The sequence below is a fragment of the Homo sapiens genome, chromosome 16, assembly GCF_000001405.40.
Source record: "Homo sapiens chromosome 16, GRCh38.p14 Primary Assembly".
Lineage (NCBI taxonomy): Eukaryota > Metazoa > Chordata > Mammalia > Primates > Hominidae > Homo > Homo sapiens.
In genome coordinates, this window is record NC_000016.10 from 60,365,485 (window position 1) to 60,383,907 (window position 18,423).

At 38.7% G+C, this 18,423-nt stretch overlaps 1 long non-coding RNA gene across 7 annotated transcripts in view; it reads left to right on the plus strand.

Moving 5' to 3' along the window:
• Positions 1-18,423, plus strand: part of LOC101927605 (uncharacterized) — a 187,474-nt gene that overhangs the window by 5,703 nt on the left and 163,348 nt on the right. Inside the window, exon 5 of one of the 7 annotated variants that reach the window (XR_007065085.1) lies at positions 6,209-6,348. The exons of the other annotated variants lie outside the window; for them this stretch is intronic. This is a non-coding gene — a long non-coding RNA (uncharacterized LOC101927605). Of the gene's footprint in view, positions 1-6,208; positions 6,349-18,423 lie in introns of those variants that run through there. 7 annotated transcript variants of the gene reach the window in all.

Genomic DNA, 18,423 nt, shown 5'->3' on the forward strand with positions numbered 1-18,423 from the left:
ATGTCTCATCATTTCTTCTTTCTTCTGGATACACCAACGTTTTGTCCTCCTTTTTTTTTTTTCTGTTGTAAATGGGAAAAAGCTTGAAAAAGACTCGATGGCTATCATTTCAATACATAGAATAAATAGTTCCATTCAATTTATTTCAATTGAATAGACAGATCCATTCAGTCTACAATACTGAAGGATCCAGATTAATCACCTCCCAAAATTGACTGGAATAAATAGAGATAAATAAAAACCAAATACAGATATGAGTTCAAATTCTAAAGAGTGCCTACTGTAACTACAGGTCCAAAAGCTAATACTAGAAGTCCCTGTTTCTTTATTATTAACTGGGTGATCCTTAGTTATTCAACCATGTGACCTGAGTAACTTTTAAGTTCCTCATCTCTAAAATGGATATTTATGAATAAGAGCACCACTGCATCAAATTGCTGTGAGAATTAAAACAATTTATAAATAATACTTGGGCAGAGCCTGACTAATAGTAATATAGTAATTATAAGCATTGAGGTTGGTAAGGTTTACAGGAGTCTGAAACAGACATTAACATGAAAGAAGATTCTTGAAAAGTGAACTTGGGATCCACATCTATAGCAAAAGCAAAGAGATAAGATTGGGCAGAGTGAGAAGTTAGGACGAGAAGAGGTCACAGCAAGGTTTCTGCCCACCCCTCCAAGAACCCTGGAGCTCAGAAGACCCCTCTGAATGGTCCTGAATTAGGGTGAAGGTCTTTCCTTTCAGTGAGGCAGCTTTCTTGAGCAGAAAGCAATACCTAGAGAGGACCACTCTAAGCAGCTGTGAGAGTAACTTCCTTCAGTCATGAAGGTCAATCTGGAAGGCACAGTAAATTATTACTAAAACATTTAGTAATTATTGTGTATTAGTATGACTTTTATGTTTTTTTTTTTTTTTTGGTTGTTAATCTTGAAACATTTTCTTCCATTTTTCAGTTCCTTACACAAATAATTAACCCTTAGGGAGCCCCAGGCAATAGTGCAAACAGCAGGCCGTGTATCATATGTTTAATTATGTAAGAGGTACAAAGTAAACTACTAGACAGTTAAATACATATATGTGCTGTGTCTTATGAAAGATACACCTTTATAATGACTTAGGAGGCTAAGTAGGAATTAAAGACTTTTAGACCCCTTGGAAATCTGTTTTGGTACATGGTGGTGTGAGAAGAGTTAGTTCCCAGGCTCCAGACCACTACCTGGCCTCTTTCCCACCCCAACTCTGTGCTTTTGCTTCATCCTACACCACAAAGTGCTCACATGGATGTGTACGGAACCCCAGCTTGCATTCCCAAGTACTGTCCATGACTCCCACAAACAGCTACCCCTTTGCTGTCCATCAGGGAAGCCATGCATACATTGATGATATCAGTAATCCGCAGAAGGGCAGACTTGCGCAGGAGGCATGCAGAGGATCTCAATGCAAGCTTGGGACCCTTAGGGAAAAGAATTAAGGTGATTCAGCTACCTGGAGCAAGATCCAGAAAGGGGAGGGACCTTCAAGTGGGCTTGTCCCCTTGGCTCTGGATATACCTTATTCTGTTGAGAGGGGTACAGCTGGAGGAACAGTGTAAAGTTCAGGTAAGGTGGACTAGTCTTGGTTAGTCCATAACTAACCCATAACTAAAGGGTTCCCCAAATGTGAAAATTGTAGTGCTAAAACCAGTGAAGTCCTAGCCAAACTGGAACAAGTTAGTCATCCTTATAGGACCTGATGCTAGGTCCCCCTTACTCTGGTCTAAGAGCTGTACTATCCTGTGATAAAATAAAAAATATATATTTATATATTGTCTGTGCCCCCATTTCCTGGCACTTATCTCCTAAAACCACTAGCATCTCCAAAGTGATGTATCTTTTTGCTTACTAATGAGATGACTGGTGACTGGAAGCTCCTGAATAGTCTCAGGGTGAGGGCTGATTTCTGGGAGAATCAACCATGTGATTAGAGAGTTGGAGCATTTAGCCCCACCCCTGACCTCCAGGGAGGGTACAGGGGCTCAAGATTGAGTTGATTACCAATAGCCAATGATTTAGTGAATCCTGACTGTGTAATCAAACTTCCACAAAAATTCAAAAGGATGGGTTTTAGAGGGCTTCTTGGTTGGTGAATACATGGAGGTCCTGGCAAAGTGGCATGCCTGGAAAGAGCATGGAAACTCCACACCCCTTCTTGTATACCTTGCCCTCTGCATTTCTTCCATCTGGCTGTCCCTGATTGTGTCTATAAGTTTATATAATAAATTGGTAATCTTGCAAGTAAATCATTTTTTGGAGTTCTGTGAGCTATTCAAGCCAATAATTCAACCTGAGTGGAGGCGGTGGGAACCTCTGATTTACAGCGCAAGTGACAACTGAACTTGCAATTGGCATCTGCAATTGGGCCAGTCTTCTGGGACTGAGGCCTTAGCTGATAGTGTGAAATCTGACACTATCTCCAGGTAGTTGCAGCTGAGCTAAATTGTAGGGCACCCAGTTGGTGTCTGCAGAGAATTTGAGAATTGCTTGGTATGGGAAAAACCTACAAATTAGGTGTCAGAAGTGAAGAGAGTGACGTCAATATAAAAGGAAAAACAGCTTTTCTCCTTTCATATCCTCACACATCTCTATTTCTTCTTGTCCAGGATATATGCACATGCTGTTCTTTCTCTGGAAGGCTGGGGCCTCCCTCTACCCTTTCTATGTATCTAGTTAAGCCTTTCATACTCTTCAGATCTCAGCTCACTTGTCTTTTCTTCAGGGAAAACTTGCCAGATCTTCTTAAAAGGGTGATTTAATTTAGTTTGATGTTCTTACAGCAATATGTGCCACCCCATCTATAGCTCTCATCACGGCAGCAAATTTACATGCGTTTCCTACAGCAGATAAGCGTTTGTCCTTAGTATTCCACACATCTTGCTACACCAGCTACTTTGTTGAGCACAGTTGCTCATTCTCAAGTGCTCAGCAGTAGGCAGATTCTTCTTATTTTAGAGCACAATCTTATTATGGAATGAAGGCGATCATAGAAAGGGCCATAATTTCTTCTGGGGGCTCTGACTGGATTGCTCATTAAATGCTTGGAGAGAGAAAACCTTTCAGAGAAATTATCCTTTCACTGTGTGACTGAATGGAGTTTGAACAATTTCCTGGGGTACAATGCATTATCTCTTCCCGATTTTGTGGCAAATTCTTCTTAAGCATGTGGGGTGTCAACTCCAAGTAATTAATTAATTAATTGGCAAACACTGATTGAACCTGCATAGTACCCTGCCTCTCCAAATAAATACTATCATTTAAGTTAGCAAATAGAGCTGTAATGAGAGTTAAATGAAGTAATGAGGCAAATACCCCTCATTTGGGATAGTGTGTTCAGGGAAGGCATCTCCAAGGAAGTAACATTGGTTCTGACATCTGTGAAGACAGAAGAAATGAGCCATTCAGCTGTCAGGGAGAAGGGTACCTCAAGCAGAAGACATAGCAATGGTAAAGACTGTGAGACAGGAATGATCTTGCAGGTGAAAGAGTAGTTCAGCTGGGATCCTTGCACAAAGAGAATAGCAAGGTTGATGGACAGCCATGTGGAGCCCAGAAAGTACAACACCTTTGATGACAGAGAAGCATGGCAAGTGACTGCCCCTATCCTCACTACATCTGAGGGCATAGTATGTGAGGTCTCACTGTAGAACATCTGGGACTTGACAATGGCAAGTTTACAAGATGAAAGAGGGCACCTAACTCAAATGTCCAAGGAAAGACACCAGGTGATGGAGGGGACTATGAGATAAAGAAGGTTGTGAAATGAGAAGAGAGGAACAAGGAAATAGAAAATGCTCAATAAATGGTTGCTCTTATTGTTAAAAAGACAGGCAATCTGCTAAAATCTTTGAAATAATAAATGACCCAACTATTTTCCTTCTATGTATAATGGGGCTAGTAATGCATTCTTTCTAATAGAGTAGTGAGTTTATACATTGATATGGTTTGGCTGTGTCCCCACTCAAATCTCACCTTGAATTTTAATAATCCCCACATGTCAAGGGAAGAGCCAGGCATAGATAATTAAATCTTGGGGAGGTTTCCTTATACTGTTCTTGTGGTAGGAAATAAGTGTCATGAGATTTGATTGTGTTAAAATGGGAGCTCTCCTGCACAAGCTCTCTTAGGCTGCTGCCATGTAAGATGTGACTTTGCTCCTCCTTCACCTTCTGCTATGATTGTGAGGCCTCCCTAACCATGTGGAACTGTGGGTCAATTAAAACTCTTTCCTTTATAAATTACCCAGTCTTGGGTATATCTATATGAGCAGTGTGAGAATGGACTAATACACACATACTAAATAGTTTCTCCCAGTTTATGCAATTAGTAAATGACTGAGGCAAGATATGCAATAAGTGTTCCAAGTCCAGAGCCTCCAGACTCATAATCAATTATAGCATACAACCTGGCTTAATGAGGCACGAAGGGGGTGGTGGAAATGAATGCTGGCAAAGGCTGGAGGATGTCTGCAACATACCTTTTGTGAGTGAGAATATTTAAAAATATAATGCAGATGCTTCTCAACTAACGATGAAGTTATGTCCAGATAAACCCATCTAAATTGAAAAGATCCTATGGTGAAAAATGCATTTAAGACACCTAAACTACCAAACATCATAGCTTAGCCTAGCCTACTTAAAACATGTTCAGAACATTTACATTGGCCTACAGTTGAGTAACATCATGTAATATAAAGTGGAGTTTGGCTGGGCGCAGTGGCTCATGGCTGTAAACCCAGCACTTTGGGAGGCCGAGGCCGGCGGATCACGAGGTCAGGAGATTGAGACCATCCTGGCTAAGACGGTGAAACCCTGTCTCTACTAAAAATACAAAAAAAAAAAAAAAAAAAAAAAAAATTAGCCGGGTGTGGTGGTGGGCACCTGTAGTCCCAGCTACTTGGGAGGCTGAAGCAGGAGAATGGCATGAGCCCGGGAAGTGGAGCTTGCAGTGAGCTGAGATCGCACCACTGCACTCCATGCTGGGTGACAGAGCGAGACTTCGTCTCAAAAAAAAAAAAGTGGATTTATTTTATAATAAAGTGTTGAATATCTTGTGTAATTTATTGACTACTGAACCTTGTATGAGTACTCAAAGTGAGGTTGCTACTAAATGTGTATCACCTTCAAATCATCATAAAACAGGAAAATAATATGTCAAACCATCCTAAGTCCAGAGATTGTCTGTACTAAATAATTTTATCATGAAAATGTTTTCTTAAAAATATAAAATAATCTTAATTTAAAACAAATCATTAGAGAGAAATTTTTATTAAATCCCAATACTTACAGATAAGTTCTGTGAACATTTTGATATATTGTGGTCCATTGTCTTTCTGTACATATTTTTATGTACATATGTCTTTCTGTACATATTTTACATACATATATACATAAAATAACATGTCTAAGTTTTACCATACGCCTCTGCTTAACATGATCCTATGGCATTAAATATGCTTTGACAATATTATTGTATTGTCTGCATAATACTTTACGTTAGATACCATAATTTATTTTATTCTTCCCCTTTTTCAATCATTTAGTTTTTAATTTATTATTATTACAACCAATGCCTCAATGAATAGCCGTATGTGTCATTAAAAGTATAGTCAATGATTTATTTGTTTTCTCTACACTGATAGAGCTGAAATCACTGTGAAATTATTTAACTATTGCTTCTCATGTAGACAGAATTAAGAATACCTGAAATGCAGTCTGGGGTTTCCTTTGGAAGCATGTAGATATTTAGATACCTTATAATATGCACATTTAATTTTTAATGGGTATGTAATATATTCATTGACTTCTTTTCTTATTATGTTCTTTTGTACACTATTTATCTCCTAGCTTGTGATAAGAGCTCAGTAATTATTTGTTGAATGAGAGTTTGAATGCAATTCCTGGTCAAAGTATGTAAATAAGTTTAAGAGAACAAGTCTTGAAAGGGATCAGAATAGTGCAAACGTCAGGACTTTCACAAGGTAGAAACTTAGTCCAGCTTTAGCTTTTATGCTTTGGCTAAAAAGGAGGCCATGTGTGCATGCACTGTAAAACAGAAAACATCCCTAATTGCCTTGTGTTCAGACAGTCCTGGGGTGCACTCATTTCCTGATATTCACCAGAACACCAATCTTCACTTAACACAGTTAATGATATAATTTTTATTTTTAAAAGGGAGTGCTGATGTTGCTACCAGCTTCAGAAGATGTTTCAAATCTGGTTGTGGAGTCATTCTATTTCCAATTAAGCAGTGGGGGGATTCAATTACAAGCTGTGGGAAGCGAAGAGTTTGTGTCAATAAACCAGCAGTGGTATTAAGGGTGGTTGTCTGGTTTGCAAACATTAACAGCTTGAATCCTAAAGGCGTATGCTTGTGAAATTATCTAACTATTGCTTCTCATGTAGACAGGATTAAGAATACCTGAAATCTAGCCTGGGGTTTCCTTTGGAAGCATTTTCTCTCCTTGAACTCACAGGGAATTTGGGCATTAAAGTAGCGTATTAAAGGACTCAGTGGGAGCTCGTTAACAAGGTTAAAGCCATTACAAAAAAAAGTGTCAGAAAAGTATTCCGAAGAAGGCAAAATAATTTGTTGCAAGATCTGGTTAGAAATGAAAAGGGTAAGATTCACTTAAAAATTATAATTTTGGGAGGTCATAGGGCTTTGGAAAAAAATATAAACACACACATGCACCATACACACACTCACAAACACACACGCACCACACAAAACAGGAAACTGAAGTCTTAAAAGGTGAAGGCAATACCCAAGGCCTGTCAACTAACTAGCAGATATGAAGTGTCTACTATGTGTCGGGTGGTCTGCTAAGAGTCAGATATATAAATGGAATAATAAGTGTTAGTATCTTTCCTTAAGAAATTTATAGCCCAGCTACAATTTATTATTTTTTTCTTTGGTTTTATTGACTAACCTAAACTGTGCTGAGCCCTTTGCCAAACAAGTTAATCTTCCAAATATTTTTAAATTGTTTATTGTCAGCTTTTCCGTTGCCTCCTCTTATTATCTTTCCTATTTGGCAATACAATTTTAATTTTTTTAATCATTGGCTTTGAAAAAAACTTTGCTAATAGGACTGGTTCAGAGTATTTAGCCTTCATGTCATCCCCTTTCGAAAGAAAATTTCTCAATTGGATTGGAAAATTTAATTCCTTGCCTGTATGTTTTCCAAAACAAGGACTATTTCCATTTACTTTCCTGTGAAGCTGAATATAATTCCAGTTTCTCACAATTTGCTACTCACTGTTCTCCTGGGGAAATGAATGATTCATCTGACTTGTGTCTTTGGGAGAGGGAATCAAGCATGTCCAACTCAGATATTTTCTCTTCTGCTCTGCTCATATTTGGGGTGAGCCAGGCATATGGTCAGAGCAGACTGTTATCGTCTGGCTTTAAGTTTGGATTCAGGAGTAAAATGGTAGCATGCCCATTTGGTCACAGACTTAAAACCACATTTCTAATCTCCTTTTTTGGAAGCAAAAGTTTAGGTTTTGACTTCCATTATTCTAACTCTTGGTCTCTCAATTGATTCTAGACTTAAAGAGAGGGAGAAAGAGGATTTTATTGGACAGGATGAGGGTCCTGAACCACAGTACATATATATGGCTTATGAGCACTGTAAAGAAGCTAGATTTTACTACCTAATGTAACTGTTTTCCAGACAGAAAGAATCATCTTCACTAAATGGCCTCAAAAGACAATGTTTTCCTGGTAAGACAAGAGATTAAAGGAATGAATAGACTCTTGGTTCACTCTCTCTATCTTACTGTCTCTCTTTCTATCTTTCTTTCTCTCTCTCTCTCTCTTTCAAAAGATACGGAATTAGTCGGAGGAAAGAAAGTGAGGAAAAAATGCACAAAGTAAATTTTCAGGATTTCAAAACCTTAATCCTGTAAGCAAATAGAGAATGGAAGTTGTCCTGGGGAGCTTCAGATAACGAAGTATGAAAGAACGGTAGAGGTTTACTTTTCTCCTCCACCTTCCTCCTCCTCCTCCTCCTCTTTCTCCTTCTTCTTCTTCTTCCTCTTCTTGTTTTTCTCCTTCCTCTTTTTCATTTACTTTAATTTTACATTCCAGGATACACATGCAGGATGTGCAGGTTTGTTACATAGGTAAATGTGTGCCACGGTGGTTAGCTGCACCTATCAACCCATCACCTGGGTATGCAACCCTGCATGCATTAGCTGCTTATCCTGATGCTCTCCCTCTCGCTGCCCCAACCACAGACCCCAGTGTGTGTCATTCCCCTCCCTATGTCCATGTGTTCTCATTGTTCAGCTCTCTCTTTTGAGTGAGAGCATGTGGTCTTTGGTTTTCTGTCTCTGTGTAAGTTTGCTGAGGATCTTCTCCTTCTCCTTAGCCTTTTCCTTCTCTTTCTCCTTCTCCTCCTCCTCTTCTTCCTCCTCCTCCACCTCCCTTTTTCTCCTTCCTTCCTTCCTGCTTCTTCCTTCTGGATCTTTTATCATTTGAAATGGGAGCATAGGACGGGATGGTCTTGATGTATTGAAATTCTATCAACGTCATTTTTCCCCAAATATGTATTTGCTGCTTTATAGATCAGAAGACAGTTTATCTTTAAAATAAACTGTTATTTTTCCAGGATGGAATTTGGAACTTTGTGTGTGTGTATGTGTGTGTGTGAGTGTGTATGTATGCCGTGATGTGTTTGTGTGTACAAGCAAAAGTACACACAGGTTCAGGCATGTGAGAACAAGCGAAAGCAGTTAAGAAAAGGGGTAGAAAAGAACCAAGAAAATTGCCCTCCCATCCTCTTCTCCTTTTTTTTTTTTTTTTTTTTTTTGTGAGATGGAGTCTTGTCGCCTAGGCTGGAGTGTGGAGCACAGTGGCGCCATCTCGGCTCACTGCAACCTCCTCCTTCTGGGTTCAAGCCATTCTCCTGTCTTAGCCTCCTGAGTAGTTGGGACTACAGGCATGCACCACCATGCCCAGCTAATTTTTTTGTATTTTTAGTAGAGATGGGGTTTCTCCACCTTGGCCAGGCTGGTCTTGAACTCCTGACCTCAGGTGATCTGCCTGCCTCAGCCTCCCAAAGTGCTGGGATTACAGGCTTGAGCCACCATGCCCAACTCTCTTCTCCTTTTTCCACAAGGAAAAGGCTAATTATCTGGGATTAATTCTATATGGGATTGTGGTGGCCTGAATAATGGCTCCCTAAAGGATGTCTGAACTCTAATCCCTGAAACTTCTTAATATGATTTGGCAGATGTAAATAAGTTAAGGATCTTGAGAAAGGGTGAGTGTGCTGGATTATCTTTGTGGGCCCAGTGAAATCATAAAGGCCTTGCAAGAAGGAGGCATGAGGGTTGGAGTCAGAAGAGATGAGGGATGGAAGCCAAGGTGAGACTGGTGCTGGGATATGAGCAAAGGAATGTTGACAACCCTTAGAAGCTGGAAAAGACAAGGCAACGAATTCTGTCCTGAAGTCTCCACAAGAAATGAGCCTTGATAACCCATTTCAGATGTCTGAGCTCCAGAACTATGAAATAATAAATGTGTGTTGTTTTAAGCCATGAAATTTGTGGTAATTTGTTACAGCAGGAATAGTAAACTCATACAGGGAAGATTAATGACTAAATGGTATATTATCAATGTTATACAGTTATTCTGATTTTCACATATTTGTGAAGAACGAGGTATACGCCTCCTTTTTGTACATGTGCAACAATTCCTATGATGAGTGCATTACAAAAAACACGTGGGCTTATTGCCATTATTTTTCTTCCTACTGGGAGATTTGTAGGTGTATTTCAAACCTTTCACATCTGGATTTACAGGAGTATTCAAAGCTTTGAAAGTCCGTGAAGGCAGTGGATAGTCAATATATGCTTCCTCCGGGAAAACTGGTGAGAAATCGGAAAAGGGAATTAACCCCTTACATCCTTTTAGTGAAGTATTATTTAGTGAAGTATTATTATGAAAAGTCTCTTAAACATAAAATGCCATACATGTGGCCTGGACCTAGGCTTAGGGAGAATGGAAGGTAGGTGTGATGTGAACAGTTCTGAGAGCCTGACAGCAAATGCGGAGGATTTATTAACAGATGAAAAGCCCATTAAATATCATAGAGCCATTCTTCTCTAAGCCGTTCAGTTTACTTCTTACATAAGGAAATATGTTTCATAGCTTATTCAGGAAATAATTGGATTTTAAAAACCCTAAAATTAATTATAATATAAAATTATTGCATTTTCCTTAAACAAAATAGAGTAGTAAAATTTTGAGTGTCTTAACTAAAGCCATCTTTTTTTCATATAAACTTCCATTTCAAAGAAGTTCAGATTTTAATAGTTCTTAAAAGTCTCTCTTTTAAAGAACCCTAAACTTTACTATTATAGTTAAAATTGGATTATAAAATCAATCTAATATAAATTGAATCATTAATTAAGTCAATTTTAAAAGAAATAATTTAATTTCATTAAGGAATTGTTATACTGATATTACAAAGTGAATGGATTCCTGTAATTAAAAAGCATTGAATTCCATATGACCATTTATCTTTTCTCCTCTTTTAGCCATTTTGGTGAATTTCTAAAACAGAATTTAATTAAATGCTGAAACAAAGACATAATTCAAAATTAAAATTCTATGGAAGAACTCACTTGCAAATCACCAAAAGAGTTTTCCTTCGATATTTCAAGGGACCATAGCAAAGTGAAATATATATAAAGTTATTAGAATGTATATAACAGAATCACAGGTATTAAAGTGATATTCATTATCCATGTGATCTCCCACCAAGTAAAGAACCATTTTCTAAATGTCTTAAATGAACATTTAGTAGGTGATTGACATTTTCCTGGAATTCAGACCCAGATTCAAAAGTATGTTTTCCAGCATTAGATTTGGTGTTATACAAATCTTACTGAAAATAAACTGGAGTTTTGTAAGATTATAATTTTGAGGAAAGAGTTGTTAGGGACAGGCAGACCTGACCTTGGCCTTCATCAGTGGTAGTGAGCTTTGTCAAATCATTAACCTCACTGAGGCTTAGTTTCTGCATTTATAAATGAAGTAACATGTCTCACATTGAGTTGTTACAAGGATTACATGTAATATCACTTGTCAACTCTCCACTGCAGGCCGTGGGACATGGAGACAATCAGTGAATATTTATGCTTTCCCCGTTTTGCCTTATAAGACTACAGAATTGTAGCAGAGAAGGGGTATTGGACCTCTGTTGTATGGTATATGCTAGTGGGAGAGACTTTTTTTCTATCTTTGCTTCAAACTTGTGCACTGTGATTTCTATTATGTAATTTAAGTGGACATCTTTTAGATAAAATAAGCCTATAATAAAATGGCTTTGATGGCAGATGTACAAACTATAAAAATGAATACACATATGCATGTGAAGTAATACTTTTATTATTCTACTGTTCTACAAATAAGTTTTGCCTTATGCTATTTTCCCAGCTTCTCATTGCCTTCATGGATATATTCATTTGAATGACTGTCGTCAGAGATTTCATCCACAGACCTGCATTTTTAAAGAGGATTTGACTGGGCCTCCTGTTTTTTCTCTCTCTAATCATTTGGGCCACAGCAGCTAATTGCAGTGTCTAATTGTATCCTCAGTTGGCTGCTTGCACCCACAATTAACTAAATATAAGCACCAGCATCTTGGTACATTCAATTTTATGCCTCAAAGGGAGCTGTGTGAGAGGGCAGTTGGCAGTTGGCTATCTTCAGGAAAACAACTTCTCAGACTTGGAAGTGTAGGTCTAATTTTAAAGCTTCCAAATATTTTCTAGTTGGCACAGTCTTGGCACTGTCCATAAACCTAGTGACTATCTTAGCTACACTTTCAAGAACATAAAATCCAGATGAGTTGCAGACAGGCCACAGTTTAAGAAAAATGTCAGTAGAGGCATGAGCTCACATCTGATCACAACCATTCTTCTACTATGCTTGAGCAGCTCGTGGAATAAATGTCCTGACAAGTATGTGTGCAGCTATGGTGGACTGGGACAGAAGAACTGGAGCCTTCATGTATTTTGATCCCATGTCAGGTATATTTGTCCTTCTTCAGCAATTTGAAAAGCCTCTTTGAGGAGTTAGTTGCAATGGTGCATTTGAAATGCAGGCACTCCTCTAAAGCAGGTGTCTCAAAAACTGACTTGGAGTCAACTTAAATCCCACTCTGGAAATCAGGCTGGAAACATCATGAGGATGGAAGCCTGTCACAGCCTAGGCTTGAACTTCCAAATTAGCTCACATCTTCGACAGATGTGCCAAAGAGAATACTAGCTGATCCACCCCTTAAGGGAGAAATTAAAACTCAGTGTTTTGCAGTGGTTGCTCAGTAATCACTAGAATGTTGCTGTCAAAGCAAATCAAGAGGCTGTAGAAGTCTCTATTTCTAGATAAGTAACAAAACAAAGTTTTCTCATGCAAGTACCCAGAAATAAACAGATTGGATAGCCAGAAAAAAAAGAAGAAAGAGTAATGTATGTGGAATAAATTTCTAGTCTTTGTTTTCATCTCAGAATTTTAGTCTAAGCCTAATACGTCACCACTATTTCCAACATAGTCATTGCTTAACAGTTTCAGTGGTTGCCTTCACTGTCTCATGTGATGTGGGAATTCTGACTTGGAGGTGAACTAATCCCAGACTAGGATCAAGTCTGTGACTTCTCATTTCCAATGCAGATTAGTGTTTCCACAGTATAAGGCATGCTTGAACAATTAGGTAAATTTGAGCTGAGCAGATCCTAAAATCCATTCAGCTACATGAACCATATGTTCAATACGATATTTCAGCTATTTATTCTTCTAGTGCATTGAGCTTTCATGACCACCTTGTTACAAACCAGCCTTTATATATGTCTCTTGATTATTTATTGATAAGATTTATCTCAATGATTTATTGATAAGATGAGATTCTCTATATATAATTGCCATATATATGTGGTAAATATATATATATATACACACACACACACACACACACACACACACACACACACCATATATACATATATATATACCAGCTGAGGGGTAACAGACATTGTTTGGTAAAATAAAATATATTGATAAATATGTCCAGGGTTACTAGGCAGCATAAATGTACATAAAAATTTGAAGATTAAGAATGCAAAAGAGATAAAAAGATACATTTGCTCTTCTAGCGTGTGGGTGTTAGGGGTAAGGGGGCAACATGAAGACAGAAGAAAAAGGGGGGTTAACCAGGGGACTATATAAGTGCAACCCTTATTGGTGGGATTTTGGCAAGGTTGTTTCAAAATAGAAATGTCTAAGATGAAATTTTAATTTAGTTTGGGTGTGCAAAATACAATGATACTTCAGTAAGATCTACTCTATATATGGAAAAATACGTAAGTGAATTGTGTGTTGAAACTATAGAAAGGGCTGGGCTTTGGGCTTTTTCTGCAGAACATGTTTAGAAGTAGGGACTCAGACACAGATATGTCTATGGGAAAATAAGTTCCTGGGTACTTACCTTAATGAAGGGAAGGTCTTAGACTTCTCTGCTTCATGAACATACATGTTCCAGATAACCTCACACAGAAATCAAGGAGTCATGGTTTTCCCAGCTAACATCTAAGGTCCATTCTGACGAGGACTAATAATTCCGGTTCCACTAGGAACACAGAAACGTTTAGGAAAATAAGGCATTCCCATAAGATGCCCCCATTCTAGCAAGGAAGGTCGCTATGGTCAAATGTTAATAATACTATGTAATTTAGTCAGGAATGTGCACGACTTGCTCTGGCAATAAAGAGAAAGCTCAAACTTGAGACTAGTTCCTGGGAGGCTCAGAGACTCCCTGACACAGACCAATTCTGCAGCATGAGTTCAGAGGACAGAGCCTGCCCTAGCCTGCCCTATCATAGGAGCCTTACGTTCTGGGAGATATTATGCCAGTCTTAGATACATTAGGGCTACTGGGAATCCTAAAAAAATCAGCAATTTCCTACCCTATCCAGGACCCCTTTGAACAGCCGTCTTTTGATGCCTATCTCTTATCCCATTGGATCTTCACACTGGAACTTTTCTAGGTAGGCTCTGAGAAATCTGAGGTAAAAGTCTGTTATTTTCAAGATTGTGGAGTTTTAAAGAGTTTAGAAAGTTCAAAGGAGGTTTTCATGGCAATTTACAATTCTGAGCACTTTATCAGATACGTGTGGGGATCGCAAATCCATCAGTAAAGGAACAGCCTAAACAGTCCTCCTTTACTTTTATGAGCAGCAGCCCTGCCATGACAAGTGATTTTCTTTTTCCTTCTATGGGAAAAAATGCTCCGCCTTTACCAGTAAGCAGGTGGCTGTCATTTTCTTTTTTTTTTTGGCATAATTTAAAGTCCTTTAAATGCTTATTTTTAATTTTAATAATTTTGGAGGTGTTCACTTGTGCATTAAAATTCAGGAAGCTGGCTTAGCCCTCGGCTTACCTTCAGGGCAAAACTGTGCGCAAGACATGCTTCTATGAGATAATTTGTTTCCTAATTGGCATCCGTTTGCTGAAATACAATTAAAGTTATTGCTCTAATATTAACATCAACATCTTGATTGCTCTATAAAGCATGAATATTTATAAATTTTTTTCTTCCATGGAAGATATCTCTTAGGCATTTACTTTTTGGTGTTGTCAGTTTCATATTTATTAAGAAGTTTTCATAAGGAGGATATAAGAAGGGTCTGGGTCACTTGCTGAGATTTAATACACAGCAGGGTTAGGCCATTTAGACGCTAAAGAGCTGTGTAAAGCATCATTTCTAAGAAAATGTGTTTGGATTCTGGAGCTCAGTTGACTTGAAAACCTGAGAACTAAATCATCTATGCTACCTACTTTTTACACTATTATGAGGATCATGTGAGCTAGATGAATTTAATGCCCCTAATTGGGGAAAAAAAAAAAAAGTACCTTGTATTTGCACAGCCCTTTAAGATTTATAGTAGGCTTTGCACCTCTCAAGTGTGACTATCTGGAAGACATGATATTTCACTACTAAGTTTTTGGGGGGTTTTTTGGAGACAGGATCTTGCTCTTGCCCAAGCTGGAGTGCAGTGGTGCAATCATGGCTCACTGCAGCTTCACCTCCCCAGCTCAAGAGACCCTCCCACCTCAGCCTCCTGAGTAGGTGGGACTATAGGCGTGTACCACCAAGCCTGTAGCTGGAACTACAGGAAGGCATACACCACCAAACCGGCTATTTATTTATTTATTTATTGTAGAGACAGCCTTCCTATGTTACTCAGGCTGGTCTTGAACTCCTGGGCTCAAGCAATCCTCCCATCTCAGCTTCCCAAAGTGCTGAGATTAAAGTCATAAGCCATGTGGCACCCAGACTCATTACTAAGTTCTTGGTGGGACCCATTGCAGGTTTATTGTTGTTATTTTGTTTTGAGAATGAACTGAAAATTTTATAATTATTTATAAATTATAAATATGAGAATGTAAAGACATAATTCTAGATATATTCAGAATTAAATGATTACTGTTCATCAATTAAAATGTTTAGATTACATTTTTTTACCCACTAAACTCTTAAAGTATCTTTCAAATTTGAAAAGTAATATAGGGTATCATACATGTTATACATATCAAGTTGTAAGAAAAAGCAAGTATTAAAAAATAAAAGCACCTTTTCATGTTCGAATATTCAATTGACCTCTTCAGATACAACTGTAATTAAGAGTTCCTTTGTTCTTGTCCCTTTCTCTTTCTCTTTCTTTCCTAAGTTATTCTCTAAAATTACCAGTTGGACCAAGCAAGATGGGAATTTTAATGGGGTAAGAAGTTCTTCAAAACTTCAACGCACTTGTCAGATCCAGAGCAAAATGAAGAAGGAATCTGTGCAAGGGGTAGGGGGGATTTTAAATATTTAAGTCCAAGTAGAAGAGTAGCAGGGTGTCTACCTACTGACAGAAGAGGGCAGGGAGGGTAGGAGCCCTGTGATGTGATGAGGGAGGGTATCCACCATTCACATAAGTGACAGGGAGACCAAAGGAGAGACTGTGTACATGTAGAGGATGGATCTGTAAGTCATATGTTAATGATAATGGGAGCCTGGCTTCTCACTGTTGGGTAGTGGTGTTTCACATGAGAAAAGGGAGAAAACTGTCACTAAACTCTGGTATTAAATTAGAAGATGAGATGAGGTAGTGACACGAACATACAGTTCTCAATATGTGGACAGATTATGTAAGATAGAAATATAAATGTGAGATTTGTATGTATGTGTATCAGGGTTCTCTAGAGGGACAGGACTAATGTTCTCTAGAGGGACAGAATAGATGTATATATAAAAGGGAGTTTATTAAGGAGTGTTGACTTACAGGATCACAAGGTGAAGTCCCACAATAGGCCATCTTCAAGCTGAGGAGCAAGGAAGCCAGTCCGAGTCCCAAAACCTCAAAAGCAGGGAAGCCAACAGTGCAGGCTTCAGTCTGTGGCTGAAGGCCTGAGAGCCACTGGCAAACCACTGGTGTAGGTCCAAGAATCCAAAAGCTACAGAACTTGAAGTCCCATGTTCGAGGGCAGGAAGCATCCAGCATGGGAGAAATATGGAGGCCAGAAGACTCAGGCAGTCCAGTCCTTGCACGTTCTTCTGCTTGCTTTTATTCTAGCCATGCTGGCAGCTGATTAGATGGTTCCCACCCAGATTGAGGGTGGGTCTGCCGCTCCCAGTCCACTGACTCAAATGTTAATCCTCTTTGGCAACACCCTCACAGACACACCCAGGAACAATAGTTTGCATCCTTCAATCCAATCAAGTTGACACTCAATATTAGCCATCACAGTATGTGACTGTGTAAAGAAATATATTTTCAGCCCTTCCACTGAAACAGCCTGCCACCTGTGATACCCAATGGCCGAAAACACCCCTAATGCCCAGAGCATGGTTTCTAAATATTGCTTTTGACTAAATGGAATCAAGCCTTCTTGGAGAAATGGCTGATTCCAAGCTGAAGCATAGAAAAGAAAGGCCAAAAAGTATGCCAGAAAATAAAAGTGATGACAGCGTATAAAAATAACACAGATGCCAGTGTAAAGGGGCTCCCACTGGCCAAATCTGGATAAATTTTAGCATCATATTAAATAATAAAAGTAGTAGATTAAAGCCATGGAATAAAAAGAATTTATAAGATCTTAGTGACAAAAATACTTAAAGAAATTAATTGAAAGTTTAATGAGGAATGTAATATTTACATAATCTCATAATACCTCCTCACAAAAAGCACTTATTCTTTATAATGGGAGAACAAGCTGTATACTGGAGAAGGCTGAAAAAAATCCCCTTAAACAACTGATCAAAATCAGCATCACCAGTCATGGACTACATTGAAATTCAGTGCCACCTGAGAGGATGTAATGAGAATGTAGCATTACTACCATAATATGGTTGCCAAACATGCGTCACCTAAATCTAAGAATGAGGCAACATTAGACAAACTTAAATAGAGGGAAAGTCTAAAACATAAGTAGCCTATTATCTCCCAAAGAATCATGATTATGAAAGCCCAGAAAAGACTGTTTTGGATTAATGGAGACTAATAAGGGGATGGCAAATAAATGCAACGAAGGACTCTGGATTGAATACAATTGCTATAAAAGGTACTTATTGGTACAAATGGCAAAACTTGAATAGGAAAGTGGTGAAAACTGAAGTGTCTAAAAAGTAAATGATAATAAAATAGCAAAGTTAATGTTCTGGTTTTTATGGCTTTATTATCTTATGGAGGAGAATGACATTATTGTTAGAAAATAGTTTTGAGCCGGGTGCAGTAGCTCACGCCTGTAATCCCAGCACTTTGGGAGGCTGAGGCGGGTGAATCACGAGGTCAGGAGTTCAAGACCAGCCTGGCAAAGATGGAGAAACCCCATCTCTACTAAAAATACAAAAATTAGCTGGGCGTGGTGGTGGGTGCCTGTAATCCTAGCTACTCAGGAGGCTGAGGCAGAGAATTGCTTGAACCCGGGAGGCGGAGGTTGCAGTGAGCCGAGATCCACCATTACACTCCTGCCTGGGCAATAGAGTAAGACTCCATCTCAAAAAAAAAAAAAAAGTAATTTTTCAAGGCTGGGGGCAATTTGCTCTCAGAGGATTCAAGATAAACTTACTTGTACTGTAAAGTGCTGGGATTACAGACATGAGCCACCGCACCCGGTCCAGGTGTAATATTTTTAATTTCTTCAATTTGTCCTTATGAAAAATGTTGTAAAGACACTTCTGGATCTTAATGTCTCTCTGTTGGACATGGCAACAGTGGGCCAAAATTGTTCTGTAGTTCTCAGAGTATTTGATAGATAGTCCAGGGGAGATACTGATTGTTTAAGAGTAGAGTTAGGCCTCTCACCTCTCTTCCGCACATTGTATGACTAAAAG